This window comes from Homo sapiens, chromosome 15 (genome assembly GCF_000001405.40).
Source record: "Homo sapiens chromosome 15, GRCh38.p14 Primary Assembly".
In the NCBI taxonomy this organism is placed as follows: Eukaryota; Metazoa; Chordata; class Mammalia; order Primates; family Hominidae; genus Homo; species Homo sapiens.
The window spans coordinates 48,285,615-48,304,078 of NC_000015.10; the positions used below are offsets into that span (position 1 = coordinate 48,285,615).

At 37.7% G+C, this 18,464-nt stretch overlaps 1 protein-coding gene across 3 annotated transcripts in view; it reads left to right on the forward strand.

Annotated features, from left to right (window-relative positions):
- The window catches only part of SLC12A1 (solute carrier family 12 member 1), a 97,777-nt gene extending 79,313 nt beyond the window's left edge, over positions 1-18,464 (forward strand). For all 3 annotated transcript variants that reach the window (NM_001384136.1, NM_000338.3, NM_001184832.2), the window contains exons 22-27: positions 2,429-2,560; positions 2,791-2,902; positions 6,164-6,250; positions 13,526-13,661; positions 15,701-15,768; positions 17,136-18,464. In NM_001384136.1, coding sequence (NP_001371065.1) covers positions 2,429-2,560; positions 2,791-2,902; positions 6,164-6,250; positions 13,526-13,661; positions 15,701-15,768; positions 17,136-17,271 — 671 coding nt within the window. In that variant the 3' untranslated portion in view covers positions 17,272-18,464. The remainder of the gene's footprint in view (positions 1-2,428; positions 2,561-2,790; positions 2,903-6,163; positions 6,251-13,525; positions 13,662-15,700; positions 15,769-17,135) is intronic.

Genomic DNA, 18,464 nt, shown 5'->3' on the forward strand with positions numbered 1-18,464 from the left:
TTCAGACATTTCAGGGAACTGAAATACGACTAGTACATGCAAATACGGTATCCAGCTGGAACGCTGATTTCAACAAAAGCATCTTTATCACAAACCAGAATGCACGACTTAGAACTTTATTGGTACTCACTACCTGTAGATTTCATCTAAATGCTACACTTATATGTGGACTTATGGTATGCAGTCCTGGGACAAAGGATCAGAGGTTGGGAGAGCTTGTTACACATTTTATAAACAGATGATTCAAACGTTTGGTTTTTTGAAAATTACTTCCCGAAACGCTATGGGTTTGAGTTTAATGAGGTCCACAGTGACCTCTGCTGGTCAAAAATCAGAATGTTACCAGGCATTTGTTTATGCACGAATGTCCTGTAGTTACTGAAGTCATACACTGGTGTGAGGCCAGGAAAAGATGGTTTCTCTGGGAGGGTCTCCAAGTCAAACAGCAGGATCCAAGTGGAGACTTAGCAAGCTTCTGGTCTAGGTTGACCGGCGCCAACCCTTTAAAGAGGCCCTTCGACAAGGCCATCTCCTACCCTGTAAATCGTTTGTCTGTTTGCTTTCCTACTATAGCCCAAGGACGAAATTTCACCTGTAATATAATAGTTTTATATATCCACAGAGAATGATGGGAAATCCAGATATTGCCCCACTTCAAATACTCTGGCTACTGTCGAGCTCCTGGGATACCCCATGGGCCGTGGCCTACTCCTTACAGTCCACCTTAAAATGACATAAATGATGTGTTTGAATTCAACTTGAAGCTACATCAGGACTTTTAGGGTGAAAATATTTAAATAAGACTGTTCTGGATGCTAACTATTATCTTCTTTTCTTTCTAATTATTTGGTTTAACTGTGAAAAAAGTTAACAATCCATTAAATCTGCTCTATTAAGTGGTACAGTCTGGAAAATAATGGGAAATTCCAAAGTCATAGCCCAATAATGTGCTCCAACTAGAGAGAGGGAAGCATTAATGTCCTTATTATGACAGCGGGACTTGTTATTTATTCTGGAAGCTTATTTCTGCGTCACAATACTTGTTTTGGCAAAAATATACTCTTCCAAAAGTCAACATGTCAAATTGTTCAGAAAAGAAAAGTAATAATGTTATATACTGTTTTAATACCTAGAAGTTTAAACACAGCTCTAAAGTGGGCCCATTCACTACTCTGGGCTTCCATTGCTTGTCAACTCTTTTGAGTTCTAGACGAGAACCAATCCTGCCTCCAGGTACCTGAGTGTGAACAGGAGGCCTCTGGCTGCTTTGACTTGTCTGTAAGTGAGGGCAGAGCTTGGTCCATTTTGTAAATAAATTTTTCTCCCTCAGCGGTCCCAGGGATGTAAAAACAATATCAGATCATTGCTTCAGAACTGACAGACTCTAAACATGGAAACAACAAAAGATAAAACAAAGCATCTTCAGAACCTCTTAGATCAGAGAGGAAGCTCTGAAGAGGCTGTCAGCCCTCCTCTAAGCACCAGGCTGACACCACCACTTTGAAACACAGCAATAAAGTCATGACTTTCAAAGACACAGATATGAGAAATGCTACGTACGCTGTGGCAAATAAACCCCTCTTGGCAAACAGGAACAGGTCCAGTTCCAACACTGGCCGAGTTCCCTGGTACACTTTCACTGTATCCATGTTAGGGTAGAAATCACATTTAAAAAAATTGTAACTATTTTATATACACCCTTAATTATAACTCAAGTAAAGATGTTTTGTATTTCCATATTTTCTAAGGTTTTTTTTTTTTCATCTAATTCACAAAGATTCAAATAGCTCAAATGGCTTTACTTTAGCTTCGCAAGATTCCTTGAAAAGAAAGCAGAAGAGTAAGCCAGGCCAACTAAGAGACTAAATAGTCATAGAGTTCAAGATGCACACAGTCCCTGGCAAATTTTATAAACCAGACCTGAATGGAACTTAAACCAAAATAGTGCTTCATGAATCAATTCCCTAATGAACGGATATTTCTGATTCTATAGCTTATTTCTAGAAAACCACTTACCACATGTTAAGTAAATACAAAAATATTAATATCATTAAGGTGATTTATATCTGAGATTTTGGGAAATGTGGATATTCTGGCTAGTAGCATTGTTGCATGCCTAAATAATAACTCCACTCTGAGACAGATTACTAAAGGTCTGAAAAAATCCATTGTCTTTTAATAAAAACTATTATTATAAAGCTGTTTTACTTATTGACTGTCAATATTTTATTTAACTATTGAAGGTGTTCTCAATTATTCTGGGATTGGACTTTTATCTCTGCCTTTTGAAGAATACCGCTATTTATTTTAGGTATAATAAACATGAATCTGTGACCTTTTCTCTATTTTCATCACTAGATTGATTGGAAAGTTATTTTGTTTCTGCCCTCAAAAGCAAACAGATGCATCAATTCCTCTTTCGTTTCAGATGGCAGCATTAACACAAGCCAGTCGATGCATGTGGGAGAGTTCAACCAGAAACTGGTGGAAGCCAGCACTCAATTTAAAAAGAAACAAGAAAAAGGCACAATTGATGTTTGGTGGTTGTTTGATGATGGAGGTAAAAACTTTCAGAAAATACACTAGGGACAAGAATTTCAATTTTGATAAACTTAAACTGCATGAGAAGGTATATGGGAACAATACTGGTTAAAGAATAACATTTCTGTGTTCTCCAAAGACTATAACTTAATTAAGAGCTATCAATGTGGTAATGAATAAAGATATAAAGCTATTCATTTCCTTCCATTTAGATATACTCATTGTGTCATAATTTATTCTTTATTCCAGGGTTAACACTTCTTATCCCCTATATCTTAACTCTCAGAAAAAAATGGAAAGACTGTAAATTAAGAATCTATGTGGGAGGGAAGATCAACCGCATTGAAGAAGAAAAAATTGTGTAAGTAGTTTGCCACTCACATGTTAGGTCATTTCAGAGGTTTGTTGCTTTAATGCTTTAATTTTAATAACTTTAAGTGTCTCTGAGACACAATAGACTCAAAGACAAAGCCACCAGGATAGGCCTCGTGTTTACTTGGTTATCTGGTCAGTAAATTATTCGCATATTTTTCCTGATCGCTGTCTTCAAGCAAGTCCTCTTATCCTCTGTCACAAATGCTTTCCAAAAGGAAGGTGCCACAGAAGCCTCATCTCAAGTCTTGAGTGGGAGCTTCGTTATCTCATATAATGCTTATTTTGTTCTGACCAGTAAAGGCATCCAAGAAAAGAAGAGCCTGAAGGAAATCTGGGTCCAGTTGCTTTTTCTGTGGGAATTCAAAACTCCTAATTCATGGCAGTCACTCTTAGAACAGCATATGTAAAAGAGAACTAAATGGAGAGACTGCACCTGGGTTCTAGCCCCAGCTCTGCCATCAAGGAGCTGCAGGACTTTGCAACAGTCTCCAAACGCATCTGGGTCCCCAGTTTCTCCTTTGTAGTTTGAAAGAGTTTAAAGGGATGACTGTAGAGAACTCTTAATTAAAAAAAAAAAATCCCACAGTGTAAGTCTGTATCTTTCTCATTAATTTAGCCATTGAGAGTTGATGCCAGTTGTGAGAATAATAAGCATGCTGAGAACATGACACATCTAGAGGTCTCTGATGGAAATCCAGAAAACCACCTTCAGCAGCTCTTAGTCCCTCAGGGCACTGAGGGACTAAGCTCTGAGCCCTTCCTGGAACCAGCACTTCCAGAAGTCACAAAATAATGACAGGCTTTATTCAGTAATTTTTAACATTTTCTCTTCCCTCTTAGGATGTATTATGCTGTGAATGTGACATATATATATATATATATATATATATATATATATAATGTATAACTATGTATAACTGTATAATGTATAATGTATAACAATGTATAACAATGTATATACACACACACAGTTATACACTGCTACATTGTTACATTCTGAGAAATGTATCAGGCAATTTCCTATTGTGCAAACATCATAGAGTGTACTTACACAAACCTAGATGGTATAGCCTACTACACACCTAGGTTATATGGTATATGCTGTTGCTCCTAGGCTACAAATCTGAACTGAATACTATAGGCAAATGTGACACAATGGTAAATATTTGTATATCAAAACACAGAAATGGTACAGTAAAAATACAGCATAAAAGGTAAAAAATGGTCCACTTGTATTGGGCACTTACCATGAGTGGAACTTGCAGGACTGGCAGTTGCTCTGGGTGAGTCAGTGAGTGGTGAGTGAATGTGAGGCCCCAGGACACGACTACACTACTGTAGATTTTATCAACACTGTATACTTGGGCTACACAAAATTTATACAAAAATACTTTTCTTCAAAGCTGGACCTGGGAATAAAAAATATTTTTTTCTTCAATAATAAATTAACCTTAGCTTACCGTAAACATTTTTACTTCATAATTTCTAAGCTTTTGACCCTTTTGTAATAACACTGAGCTTAAAACGTATTGTACAGCTATGCAAAAGTGTTTTCTTTATATCCTTATTCTATAAGCATTTTTCTACTTTTTAAACTGTTTTCTTTTTTTCTTTTTAAATATTTTTGTTAAAAACTGAAACATAAACACACACATTAGTGTAGGTCTATCCAGGGTCAGGATCATCAATATCACTGTCTGCCACCTCCACATCCTGTATCCCACTGGAAGGTCTTCCAGGGCAATAACAGGCATGGAGCTGTCATCTCCTGTGAAAACAAAGCTTCCTCTGGAATACCTCCTAAAGGACCTGCCTGAAGCTGTTTCACAGTTCACTTTTTTTAATAAGTAGAAGGAGTACACTCTAAAATAATAATAAAAGGTATAGTATGTAAACACATAACCAGTAACAGTCATTTATTATGTTATCAAGTATTATGTACTGTACGCAATTGTATGTGCTATATTTTTATATGACTGGCAGTGCAGTTGGTTTGTTTACACCAGCATCATCACAAATGTGTGAATAATGTATTGTGCTATGCCGTTACAACAGCTACGACATCACTAGGTGATAGGAATTTTTCAGTTCCATTATAATCTTATGGGACCACCATCGTATATGCAGTCTGTCATTGATCAGAATGTTTTTATGTGGTGTATGACTGCATATATATTATGCATATATGCATATATGCATATATGTCTTTTCAATCAAAGCAATATGATATTTGTATGCTAATATTATATAGATTTAATTATACTTAAAGAGGATCATATTAACATGGAAACTAACATAATGTCTATAATATTTTATATTTCTTAAAGCTGCCAATATTTTATTGGGACAATTAGTATAATTTGAAAATGTTTTGTGGCTTAGATGGTAGTATGGCACCAATGTTAAATTTTCCAATTTCAAAAATTGTGCTCTCTTTATATAAGAGATTGTCCTTGTTCTTACGAACTGCTCACTGAAAAATTTAGGGGTAAAGGTGCCTAATATCTGCAACTGACTTTAAAAGATTAGAGTAGATAGGTAGATAGAGATAGAAGTAAATAGATAGATAAATATAAAGAGAGAGAAACAAAGAAAATGGTAAATCAAACGGGACAAAATATAAACAACTGGTGAATTTGGGAGTTCTTTGTATTATCTTAAAAACTTTTCTGTAACTTTGAAATTATATCAGAATTATCAGTTGCCAGGAAAAAACCATATATATATATATATGTGAGGTTTTATAATATATATGATGGTTTATAATGTTATAATATGTTTATATATTATATAATTTAGATATATGTTTGTATATATAATCATATAATTTATCATCTTATGATATATTGTATGATAACTGTTTGTCAGTAGCTTGTCAGTAACTCTATAAAAATTATCACCAATATAATAGTCCATAAGTATTAAGACTTGCTGTCTTTCAAATAATAAGAAATGTGGACAGATTTGCATTCTGTTCCCTGTGACATAAATGCAGAGTTGGATTGGCTGTTGCCAGTGTCTGCACCTACAGGGGTTTCTTTATGCCTTCAGTGAAATAGCTTGGTCCACACTTAATGCGTTCATCAAGTACTGTAATGAAAATCAAACACCAACCAAAAAGCCTCTGTCTGAAAGCTAAGCTGAAATAAGACGTGATTGCTTTTGATATCTTAACTCAAACAAAAAACTCTTTGATTGAAAATAGTTAAATATGCAATGATGAAGTATTTTCCTTTTATATTTTCAGAATGGCTTCCCTTCTGAGCAAATTTAGGATAAAATTTGCAGACATCCATATCATCGGTGACATCAACATTAGGCCAAACAAAGAGAGGTATGAAATATTTAACAAGAGACATTGATTACCCATGGTACTCTCTCATTCTCTTTTGTGTTGATTATCAAACAGTAAAAATGTTATGTATTTACTGCAGCGACTTCTTGATAGGATCTAATAAGAAGAGCCTTCAAATAAGCATGACATGGAACTAACAAGTACATTCTAAAGGGAAGGAAAGCTTTTACAGTGAAGACAAGCCTGAGAGGGAGAATTGTTGAAACAGATTAGTTAGTATTTTAGAATTGCCCTTCCTGTTCTTGTTTTCTATGGTGGCAAGAGCAGCACGAAGTGCAAGGTCATACTATTCTGAATGGAGCCATCAGGGCAAGTTTTGTTATTCAGAGTTACTCGTGGGGCAGCCTGGATGGGGAGCTCTGATGGAGAATATATGGAAATAGCTTGTATCTTCTTGGCACACTGACAATACCAACTCTAAAGGGCCACTTTAGCTTTTAGGCACTAAAGGCCCAACAGGGAAGGCCTATGAATTTTGGGGGGACGTCTAAAACTATTTGAAGCCTGGAAAAGAAATGTATTGGCTCCAAAATAAAAAAAAAAGAAAATGACAAAATAAAAGTAATCATTTAAATATCTTCAAAATGTGACATTATTTTAATCCTCATTAATTGTTATATTTATCAACTCCATTAGTGTCTTAGTTAGCTCAGGCTGCTATACCAAAATGCGATGGACTGGGTGGATTAAACAACAGACATTTATTTCTCACAGTTCTGGCGAAGTTCTGGGAAGTCCCAGTTCAAGGTGCTAAATTACTCAGTTCCCTTTGAGGGCCCTCTTCCTGGTATGTAGATGGCCGCCTCCTTGCTATGTCCTCACATGGTGGAAAGAATTCTGCTGTCTCTTTCTCTTCCTATAAGGGCACTAATCCTAAAATAGGGAACCTACCCTCATGAAATCATCTAAACCTAATTACCACCCAGAGGCTTCACCTCCAAATACTATCACCTGGAAGTTAGGGCTTCGACACATGAATTTGGGTGGGGGGACACAAGCATTCAGCTTATAACAATGATATTTTTGGGGGTTTTGTGGGGTTTTTTTTGAGACAGGGTCTCACTCTGTCACCCAGGCTGGAGTGTAGCAGTGCAATCTCAGCTCACAACAACCTCTGCCTCCTGGGCTCAGGTCATTCTCCCATCTCAGCCTCCTAGATAGCTGGGACCACAAGCACATGCCACCACACCTGGCTAATTTTTTGGTAGAGACAGGCTTTCGCCATGTTGCCCAGGCTGGTCTCAAGCCCCTGAGCTTAAGCCATCTGCCCGCCTTATCCTCCCAAAGTGCTGGGATTACAGGCATAAGCCATCACACCTGGCAACACTGATATTTGAAAACAGTTGTAGGTTAGATCTTCACAGTAGTTTGCAAGGGTGCAAGAAGATTGTTTAAAAACCATGGCCAATTATAAATTAAATTAAATATTTAGAGTTATCATTTAACAATTATAAAATGTCTTCAATTATTTATAGTCTAAAATCATATTTTCTGTTGCATTCAGATGTAATTTAATACATTTGATTTCATGTGGAGTGGGGCCTCCAAGAGGAATCATACAGAGGGATGTGAAGGTCCTGGAATGGCTTAGATTATCACGGTTCTGTCAGATCTCTTCCCTTTTCTGTTGACCATCATTTCTTCTTCCTTTTGTACTTCTTGATGGATTATAATTCCACAGTTTTCCAGGCTTCTTGCCTCTTTCCTTCCTTTGATTTATTGCTATTCTATATGAGCTTAATAACTAACTGAAAATTATTCCAATTTAAGATGCATTCCTACTGATCAAACAAACTTGAATTTCATATTCTTTGAGGTTATTCATGATCCTTCCAAGGAGATGGGTCAGTTAAAATGGCTTTACAAAACACCTTAACTGCAAGGCGCTGTGGCTCACGCCTGTAACCTCAGCACTTTGAGAGGCCAAGACGGGAGGATCACTTGAGCCCAGGAGTTCCAGAGCAGCCTAGGCAACATAGCAAGACCCCCAAAAATAGCAAAAATTTGCCAGGCTTCGTGGTGTATGCCTGTAGTCCTAGATACTCAGGAGGCTGAGGCAGGTGAGATCATGTGAACCTGGAAAGTCAAGGCTGCAGTGAGCCATGATCACCCCACTGCACTGCAGCCTGGGTGACAGAGTGAGACCCTATCTCAAAAAAAAAAAAAGAAAAAAAGAAAAAGGAGCCAAGCACTGTGACTCACGCCTGTAATCCCAGCACTTTGGGAGGCTGAGGCAGCAGATCAGCTGAAGTGAGGAGTTTGAGATCAGCCTGACCAACACGGTGAAACCCCGTCTCTACTAAAAATTCAAAAATAGCCGGGTATGGTGGTGGGTGCCTGTAGTCCCAACTACTCTGGAGGCTGAGGCAGGAGAATCGCTTGGACCTGGGAGACAGAGGTTGCAGTGAGCCGAGATCGCACCACTGCACCTCAGCCTGGGCGACAGAGCAAGACTACATCTCAAAAAAAAAAAAAAAAAAGAAGAAGAAGAAAAGAAAAATACATTAACTGTGATCAGAAAGCTATAATCGACAGTGTTAAACTGATTATTACTTTGTGATATTTCTTTACATCATACTCTACTGCCTTACATTTTTATATTTCTACAGTTGTAAATACATAAGAAAAATTAAGAACATATAATTTTCATTGATAAATGGAATTAACATTCTGATATGAACTGGGTTGTCATACAATAATCTCTGGTAGCCTTCCACTTTTTATTCAAGAACTTCCATTCTCTATGTCATTGCATTTTGGCATTTGCAGTGATATAATCAAACAAGCTCATCATATGGCTCTAATTGGTAGAAATACATCATCTTTCACAACAGCAAGTCCAACAATTCCTTAGTACATGCCACTTAGCAATAGGGCATAGCTGGCCAGTGCTCTGCAAGATAGGGCCATTTTCTGTTGTCTAGTGGGTAGTCACTGTGTCTTCTACTGACTTAGGATTTCCTATAAGCCCTAGCTTAATGCTGGGCATGAATTATCCACCCACTTCTTTTTATTTTATTTATTTATTTATTTATTTATTTTTAAGACAGGGTCTCACTCTGTCGTCTAGGCTAGGTTGCAGGTGGTACAATCATAGCTCATTGCAGCCTCTAACTCCTGGGCTCAAGAGATCCTCCTGCCTCAGCCTCTTGAGTAGCTGGGTCTACAGGCATGAGCCCCTATACCCAGCTTTTTTTTTTTTTTTTGTAAAGAAAAGTCTCACTATGTTGCCCTGACTGGTCTCAAACCCCTGGGCTTAATTGATCCTGCCACCTTGGCTTCCCAAAGTGCTGGAATTACAGGCATGAGCCACCACACCTGGCCTCACCCACTTCTTGTAGCCAAATTCTCCTTGCTGTTGTTGGTCTTATACTTAGCTAAGCATTATCAATGTTTGCTGATTAATTTGTCCCTATATTTCTTTGTCTCTTTACTTGTCAATCTGGTTTTCTCAACCCAAGTCCTTGTTTCCTTCCCCTTCTTTCATAATAGTCTCTATCTAGCTGCCATGGTCACCACCCTGCATAGCCATCCTTTCTGTCCTGTTGCTGAGGAGGCTGATGTACCTCTTCCATTAACCAAGCCTCTTTATTCTTTGAATACTTTTCATAGTCTAGACACTTTTCTTCTTACTACTGTGACCTTTGTCCCAAGATGTCCTCTTCTGATGTCCACCATGTTAATTTGGTATTTGTCACATGTCCTCATTATCCTGGAATAAAGAGAATTAATTTTTTTGTCAGGAAATAAATTAGTTTTCAAAATTTTGGAGATTTTCTCTCTGTTGTTTCAAGGTATTAAGGAAAATGCAGGGAAAAAAAATCCATTCTTACTGAAATAAAAGAATCCTTGTGGCCAATATACCCTGCTGACGAAACAGGAGGCCACCAGGAGTGTGCTGGAAGAGCCATCCTCCTCTCTTCAGCCTCCTACCATAGTGATGCCATATTACCTTATAAAACAGTCCATATCTGATGTTGGCAATGGCTGTTCCAATACCTGAAAGTAACCCTAATGTAGAAGACAGTATGGTCATTCAATAAATCTCACGGATGGCCACTAGTAGCGCGTCTGGCACATTTGTAATACCTTAATTAAGGCAACTCCTCTGGATGGTCTAATCAGAGAAAGAGAACTCTTCCTCTGGGCTGATGCAGCCCCAGACCCAGGGGCTAAGGCTTAGAGAATAGAACACTGGCTCTATTTCAGCTCCCACTTGGACCTCGGCCGGGCAGCCCTTACCTACTGTTAACAACTATCTCCTGATCACTCACTATTCTTTCTTGGTTGCCGGGTGATACACAATGTCAAAAATAGTTTGTCAATGATTTCCATGTTGGAGGCTAATTTTAAATGCCCTCAAATTGCCTTTAATAAATCTTTTGACTACCCATAAAACATCAGTAAGTCTTGATGGAGGAATTTTATCATAGAAACATTATCTATAAACATGGTAGGGCAAGGGTGAAAGGGAGTACAAAAGCAAAGTTAATGAGAAAATAATTGACCCAGGAGAAACTGAAAAGCTCTTGTGCTTAAATTCTATTTTTTATTGTATAGACTGAATTAAAAGTCATAGGACAAAAAGACAACAATCTTTATGTGGAAATCAAAGAGAAACTAGAAGCAATTAAGTAGGTAATTTAGTTTAAAGATGCTAGAGTAGTCCCAGAAACAGTTGGTACATTACTTTGAGAGAAGAAATTTTATGTGGACTTAGGGGGAAAATATTATGCAATTTAAAAATTTTTAAACTTTATTATGAGGAACAAGGATGAGGAAGGCAGCAGTTAATTTTAAAAATTGAATTCTTATTTATATTTAATAGCATGTAACACTTGGCTTATTCTATAGTCAATTAAAAGTACTTATAAAGAAAAAAATCAGATTTAATGAGATTCAAAATAGAAATCTTGAGCTACGTCAGGATCCTCTAGCAAAGAGAATGAAAAATGGCCAGCTCAGAGATGATCCAAAGGATAGACCAATCAAAGATGAACACAGAGAAGGAGCAGTAAGAGTGCAAAGACAAAACTGGGCAAATACAGCCCCGTTATCACCCCCTGTGTCACTTAGCATGTTTCAATTGCAAGTAAAAGAAAACTTAACTCACAGTGATTTAGACAATAGGAATTACTTTCACATATAACTTAAAAATAAAATCATATTTTGGATTTCAGGGTAAGCTTGATCTAGGTTAATTTTGTAATCAAGGACTGATTCTCTTTCAGTCTCCCTACTTTACTTTTTTTTAATAAAATCATCTATCAAAGTTGATTTCACTTATAAAAACAAGATGACTGTCAATTGCAACCAGGACTATCTACTCGCTCATGTATGTTCCGTAGGAGAGAAAGTTTGTCTCTTCCCAAATTACTGAGCTCAGGGTCCAGGGCTCCTTTCAGGTTTCACTAACCTAAGCCACTGAGACATTACTGTGGTCAGCATAGTTGTGGGTGCTTATTGGTTCAAGTTTACCTGTGTTATGTGCCCACCTGGCCAATTACTCTGGAAGAAGACATAGAGTTGTGCTGATTGGCTGACAATGGCATGGAGCCATTCCCACTGAAAGTACAATGAGGAAAACACAGTACGGATACTGGGGAGACAACCAGCAACCTCTACTCCACCTTCTATTTCTTAGGAAACTATTTTTGTACTGTGCTTTCTAACAAGGATTTGGGCTGAGCTGCAAAGAAACTCTCATCCTGATCAAAATAAGTATACGAAGAGCTTAAACAGAAAGCCTCTCCATTGCTAATCTCAACCCTGTGGCTGCTGAGTAAAGTGAATATCTTGCCTTTCCAAGGCACTGCATGCTTTTCAGAGCACTGTCACCCAAATACTCACAGTGACTCTCAAGCCAGTTTCTAGCAGCCATTGTTACTCCCCTTTTATAGCCTAGAATATCCAGGTCAAGGAGGACAATGCAAGAGCTGGAGCGAGAACCCAGACCCTACTCTCCAAAGCCAGCACCTTTCCATAGTAATGACCACTCCTAGAGGTCTCTAAAGGCACGACACTGTTGAAATAGGAAATAAAAGTTGAAAGAATAATAGGGCCTATCAGTCTTATTCTTTCCCTGTCTTTGCCTACCTTTCTAAATAAGTTAATGCAATAGAAGCCTAATGCATTAAGTATCTTTTCAGTCTCTTAACAAAGGCTCACTAGTAGGGACAATCCTGCTCCTTTGTAATCTCTGCACTTTTATCTGCAAATCCTAAATCAGGCCAGTTGGTGAGATAATTGAACTCATTACTTCATATTTTCACTTCTTGACTTAACAGCATATCAATTCTAATTATTATTCATTCTAAAATTACTAAATTATAACTAAGCTACATTATATAAAACCAAAGAAATTTTTCATACTTGAGATCATCTTAAAGTAGCATACTAGAGACAACTACTGCCATAAATTATAAGTTTTACTTTGTGTCATTGTTTTTAAAAATAAATCTTATGAGGTTCTTATAAGTAATTTTTAAAATGTTCTATAGCTCTTAGCTGCTAGTTTTCTCCTCAGCGATTTCTTTTTAAATGTTCTAACATAGCCTCAGATTTTTAGGCATTAAAACATTATTGATTTTTGTTCTTTCTCCTAACATGAACCTGAATAATACTCATTTGAAAATCTCAGACAGCAACATCAAACAACAAAAGGACAAGGGGAGCATTATTTGCAGAAAACGTCCAAATTGTTCTACAATCATTAAACTTGTGGGAGCCCTTGCTGTTCTCCTCCTACCTGCCCGCGGCCTCCTGCCATGAGTGGGAGTTGCCATGTGGACTAAGGGTGAGGGTAGCCATATCCATTTCCTACATTAATTGATAAATGTCTCCCATAGAGTCTGTACAATAAGCAAGTGGAAACTCATTTGTGTGGTAAAGTATCTACATTACAACTATGTCTTCGACTACACTATGCAGAAAATGTCTTTGCAGAACAATTACTACCTATGTGTATATGTGTTAATATTGTAAGTATGTATGCGTATGTGTGTTAATATTGAAGATCTAATACCTAATAGGCTAACAAGGCCTTGAACACTCTAAGGCCTTTTCTGGGGTAGGGAGGGAGTACTGTAGCCATGGTTTTACTCACAGTAAATTCCCTGCAAAGATAATTCTTAAAAGATTTGCATGATATTCAGCTCTGATTCCACAGCCAGCAGAGCCAGTCACACCTGGAGTATCTGTGAAATAATGAGTTAGTTTCCCACTGTGAGGCCTCCTTTATAATTCAAATTTTAGCTGGAAAGTCTTTGAAGAGATGATTGAACCATATCGTCTCCATGAAAGCTGCAAAGATTTAACAACTGCTGAGAAATTAAAAAGAGAAACTCCGTGGAAAATTACAGATGCAGAACTGGAAGCAGTCAAGGAAAAGGTAAGGATTTGTCTTTCTTAATTTTTTTGCTGTCTAACTAGCTGAGAAAGGAAACAGTAGTTGATTTAAAGACAAAGAAGCAATATATTTATTATCAAATGTCATTATTCAAGATCCAAGCTTTCTGCATTTTTCAAGTGCTTTTCAATCATTTACTGGATACGATTATTTAGAAAACTTTTTCATTTTTTCCCATAAGGTCAATTATATTTTAAAAGTTAAAAAATAGGTTATTGGTACATATTGTGAAGTCTCCTTTCAAATTTAATTTTAAAGAGCAGGAGACAGACTCATCAGCCTAAAATAATTTGAGTCAATATGTGTGCAAAGTTGATAAAGTTAGATTGACTCACAATTTAACACAATAAGAAATACTTTTAACCTGATGAAGAGATGGCTATGAAAAACTTATAAAGGCATCTGAAGAAACATATGATGTGACTGGAACAATGAATATGGAAGCTGGATCCAGCACACATTGTAAGATGGATGTAAAATGGTGAGCCTTTCTAGACAGCCCAGTAAGATGCTCCCATCTGTGCCTTCTGTCCTGAGCCAAATGAAGTTGGTGATAATGAGAATAATGCAAAGGGCAGGGGGTCAACAACTAAGTAGAAGAATTGACACCTGGATTGGACGGAAATGAAAAAGGACCACAAGAACTTCTAAACTACAAAATCTTGAGTGTTTTCACAGGAGCACTCAAGCGCTGCTAATCTCATTGTACTTTAAGTATAATTGCAGGCATTTACAAATGTTAGAAAGAAATCTTAGGGCCGGGTGCACTGGCTCACACCTGTAATCCCAGAACTTTGGGAGGCTAAGGCGGGAGGACTGCTTGAGCCCAGGAGTTCAGGGCCAGCTTGGTTAACAGAGCAAAACCCCACCTCTACAAAAAATTACAAAAATTAGCCTGGTGAGGTAGCGTGTGTGTGGTCCCAGCTACTTGGGAGGCGAAGGCAGGAGGATCACTTGAGCCCAGGGGGCAGAGGTGAGCTGAGCTCGTGCCACTGTACTCTAGTCTGGATGATAGGAGTGAAACCCTGTTTAAAAAAAAAAAAAAGAGAGAGAGAAATCTTAGGATAAATGGGTTAATCAATTTAAAAGCTCTTCAGGTAGGATTTTGTTTTACTGGAACATGTGGGATTTTGGACAGTGAAGGAAGATAAGGGCCACCCTGAGACCCTGACCCCTGGGGCCCACGAGCTTCAGAGAGCCTCGCTTGGACTGACTGCCCACCATGCCCTACATAAACCACATTAGGAGCTGAACTTGAAAAAATTCGAGCAAGAAACGCTAAAAGCCTTTTAGATTTAGTGAAAAAAAAGAGACTGAACTAGAATTATAAAGTCTGTGTGTAACAAACTGCCCGGTTCTGACCAAGTTTTTTCATATAATTGAGCAAATCATGCATCTGAGCCTTGGTTTCTGAACCAGTGAAATACAATAAAAAATATTACTCTCATCACTGCAAAGTGGTTATTTTTCCAAGTGAGTCTTTTGGTGGCTTTTTAATTGAAAGCCCCCTCTGCTTACAGAATATTCAGAGAGCTTAAAGAAAGGCAGACTAGAATATAATTTATGTTCTTAGAGTATCAAATTGGTATAAAGATTCAATCGGTTTCTTTTTTAACAGAAAACCTATTGCCTCAAACTGGCCATTCCACTGTGCATAGGCATGGGCATATGCCACTGTGCCCATGGCAGGTTCATGAGGCTCCTTGTAGTGTAGGAAGAGGCCAGGGTAGGAGAAAACACCTTCTTTTTAGTGTTATCTATGTTGTTTGCTTCCCCTCTCCCTAGAATTTAATAAGCCACTATAGCACAATGAAAATCTTTGTACTGTGTCTTATTCTTTATATTTCTAAAATTTCTCATGAGGTTTTAAAACACCATAAGTTTCTAAGCCTGAAAAAGTAATTGTAATTTTTATACATTTTTTAAGATGAGATTTTCTGCTTGTTCATGATTTAAGAAAATAAATTCTCATTCATAATTCTGGTAGAACTGTACTCAACAAATCTGAATGTTGCCCACAGAGTTACCGCCAAGTTCGACTGAATGAACTCTTACAGGAGCACTCCAGAGCTGCTAATCTCATTGTCCTGTAAGTATCATTGCAAGCATTGAAGAACATTAGAAATAAATCTTAGGGTTAATGGGTTAATCCATTTAAAAGCTTGGGACTCTTCAGGTGGGAATTTTGTTTTGTTTTTGTGTTTTTTTTGGGGGGGGGAACACGTGGGATTCTTAGACAGTGAAGGAAGGTAAGTGCCACTCTGAGACCTTGACCCCTCAGGCCCATGAGCATCAGAGAGCCTCACTTGGACTTGCTGTCCACCATGCCTTATGAAGAGGCGTGTGCCCATCTAGTAAGACCATGCTCCAGGAATCTGAGACCCTGGATTTCTCTGCCTAACAGCCACAAGTCAGCGACCACAGCTCACGGGCCCCTTCCCTGAGTGGATGTCCCTGAGCCACTGTGCCCATGGCAGGTTCATGAGGCTCCCTGTACTGTAGGAAGAGGCCAGGGTAGGAGAAAAAGGCAGAGCCATTTCCATTTTCACTCTTTATGCTCTAGCCTTACAAATGTTAGGGTTGCGTCTACTGAAAATGTATGTTTGTTTACTTAAAGGTTGGTATTTAAACAAGAAAATCTCTAATGACTTCACATTTATACCTCATGAATTGACTCCTATGTATAAAGATAAATATATCTTCACGTAGTGTAGACTGGACAACTATCCATCAAAGACATTGTAGAATGGTCTGCTGGATTGGGTGGTAGGGTTCCAATAGATGGTTTCTGAGGTTTTTCCCAAATATAAGATATTTAAATTATTTGAAAAATCATTTACACCAAAAACGGGGGTAGGTATTAGCTGATCAAATTCCCTATTTAAAGGAAAGTGAAAATGTACATTTTTGTTTTGTCTTTACAATACCTAAGCCTGTTTTTCTGGTTTATAGATAGTATTACCTGAAAAATACATCAGTTTGCTATCTACAGTAAAAATAATTTTGGTGCTTTCATCTTGGGGTGGCGTAAAAATTAAGGCTGCCGGCCGGGCGCGGTGGCTCACGCCTGCAATCCCAGCACTTTGGGAGGCCGAGGCGGGTGGATCATGAGGTCAGGAGATCGAGACCATCCTGGCTAACAAGGTGAAACCCCGTCTCTACTAAAAATACAAAAAATTAGCCGGGCGCGGTGGCGGGCGCCTGTAGTCCCAGCTACTCGGGAGGCTGAGGCAGGAGAATGGCGTGAACCCGGGAAGCGGAGCTTGCAGTGAGCCGAGATTGTGCCACTGCAGTCCGCAGTCCGGCCTGGGCGACAGAGCGAGACTCCGTCTCAAAAAAAAAAAAAAAAAAAAAAAATTAAGGCTGCCAGTTATTAAATAGCTCAGAAATACTAGTGCCGTTACTACCTATAGTAATTTTCACTTTCATTTTTAAATTTTTCCTTCATGTCATTAGGAGCCTTCCCGTGGCAAGAAAGGGATCCATATCGGATTTGTTGTATATGGCTTGGTTGGAAATCCTCACAAAGAACCTCCCACCTGTCTTACTAGTTAGAGGAAATCACAAAAATGTCTTGACATTTTACTCTTAAAACATGAAAGATTGGAATACATTTTAACTTAATGTAATGCATAATTAAGAAACATGTTCCAGTACTTTATGTTGTAAATCTGATCTATGGATATGCAAACCTCTGGAGAGGATCCTACCAGATTCTACATACATTGCATAATTTTTATCAGTTAATGCGAGCTTTTTTTTCTCTTCTCAGCTTAAGGGGTTGTCAAAGCCAATGTTATCCCTAGAAAAACATTTTTGTCACTGCTGTTGATAAACAAGAAAATCAAGGAAACTCATGTTGGCTTATGCTCATGAAAACCACCAATGTGATTGTAAACTTCTCCAGACAAACTTAACCTTTTGTTTCTTAATTTTTTGTTTTGAGTGTTTGCTTCTCAGCCCTGGTATAGGTCTCAGCCCCACAGCAGGATCTCAATAAATGCTTATTGACAGGCTGGCATAGTAACCACAGGTGGTTATCAAAGGAAAAGACCAATAGGCTGGGGAACATAATTATGCTTGGCCCCCTCAGAGGCTTATACCTCCAAAGCAGATTTAAAAATCAGTAACTCAAAACTTTAAGAAGTAGTTGAGTCTACAAAATATTCAAAGCAGTTACCTAAATAAGGTTATTTAATGTAACAGATTATATACTTAAAGTGATCTGAGCAATCATTGATAACATATGGCTTAAATTTGCTGCTGCCTGAAAAGTATATTAACTAGATTAGAAGACACCATATACTCCAATAAAATGAAATATATTCTATTCTCAATATATAAACTTTAATTGTACTCCCTATCAAATATTTTGAAATTTCCATCACGGCATTACTTTGCATATTTTTTTCTAATTAAATGGTTAGTACAGATGAAATCTTTATAGATGACTACTTGAAAACTAAGTGCTACAAATTTTCAAACCATTATTAAGAAATATATCCTGAATCATATATTTAGTTACTTTCTATAGTGATTGTATGGATTTAAAAGAATAATTAAAATGTGAAGTTGAAAAACTTGTAAAATTTGGAATATACAGATACTGATTTTTTTCATTTTTGTTAGTATACCTATAATACATAATCACATTGACAAACCAATGAAAATATTGATTTTCTGATGAATGGCTTGATTTTTCTCCTTGACATGTTTTGACTGTTCATTCTAACTGAAAACATATATGGGAAAATATGAACCTGAAATAAAAGCACTCAAATTCAA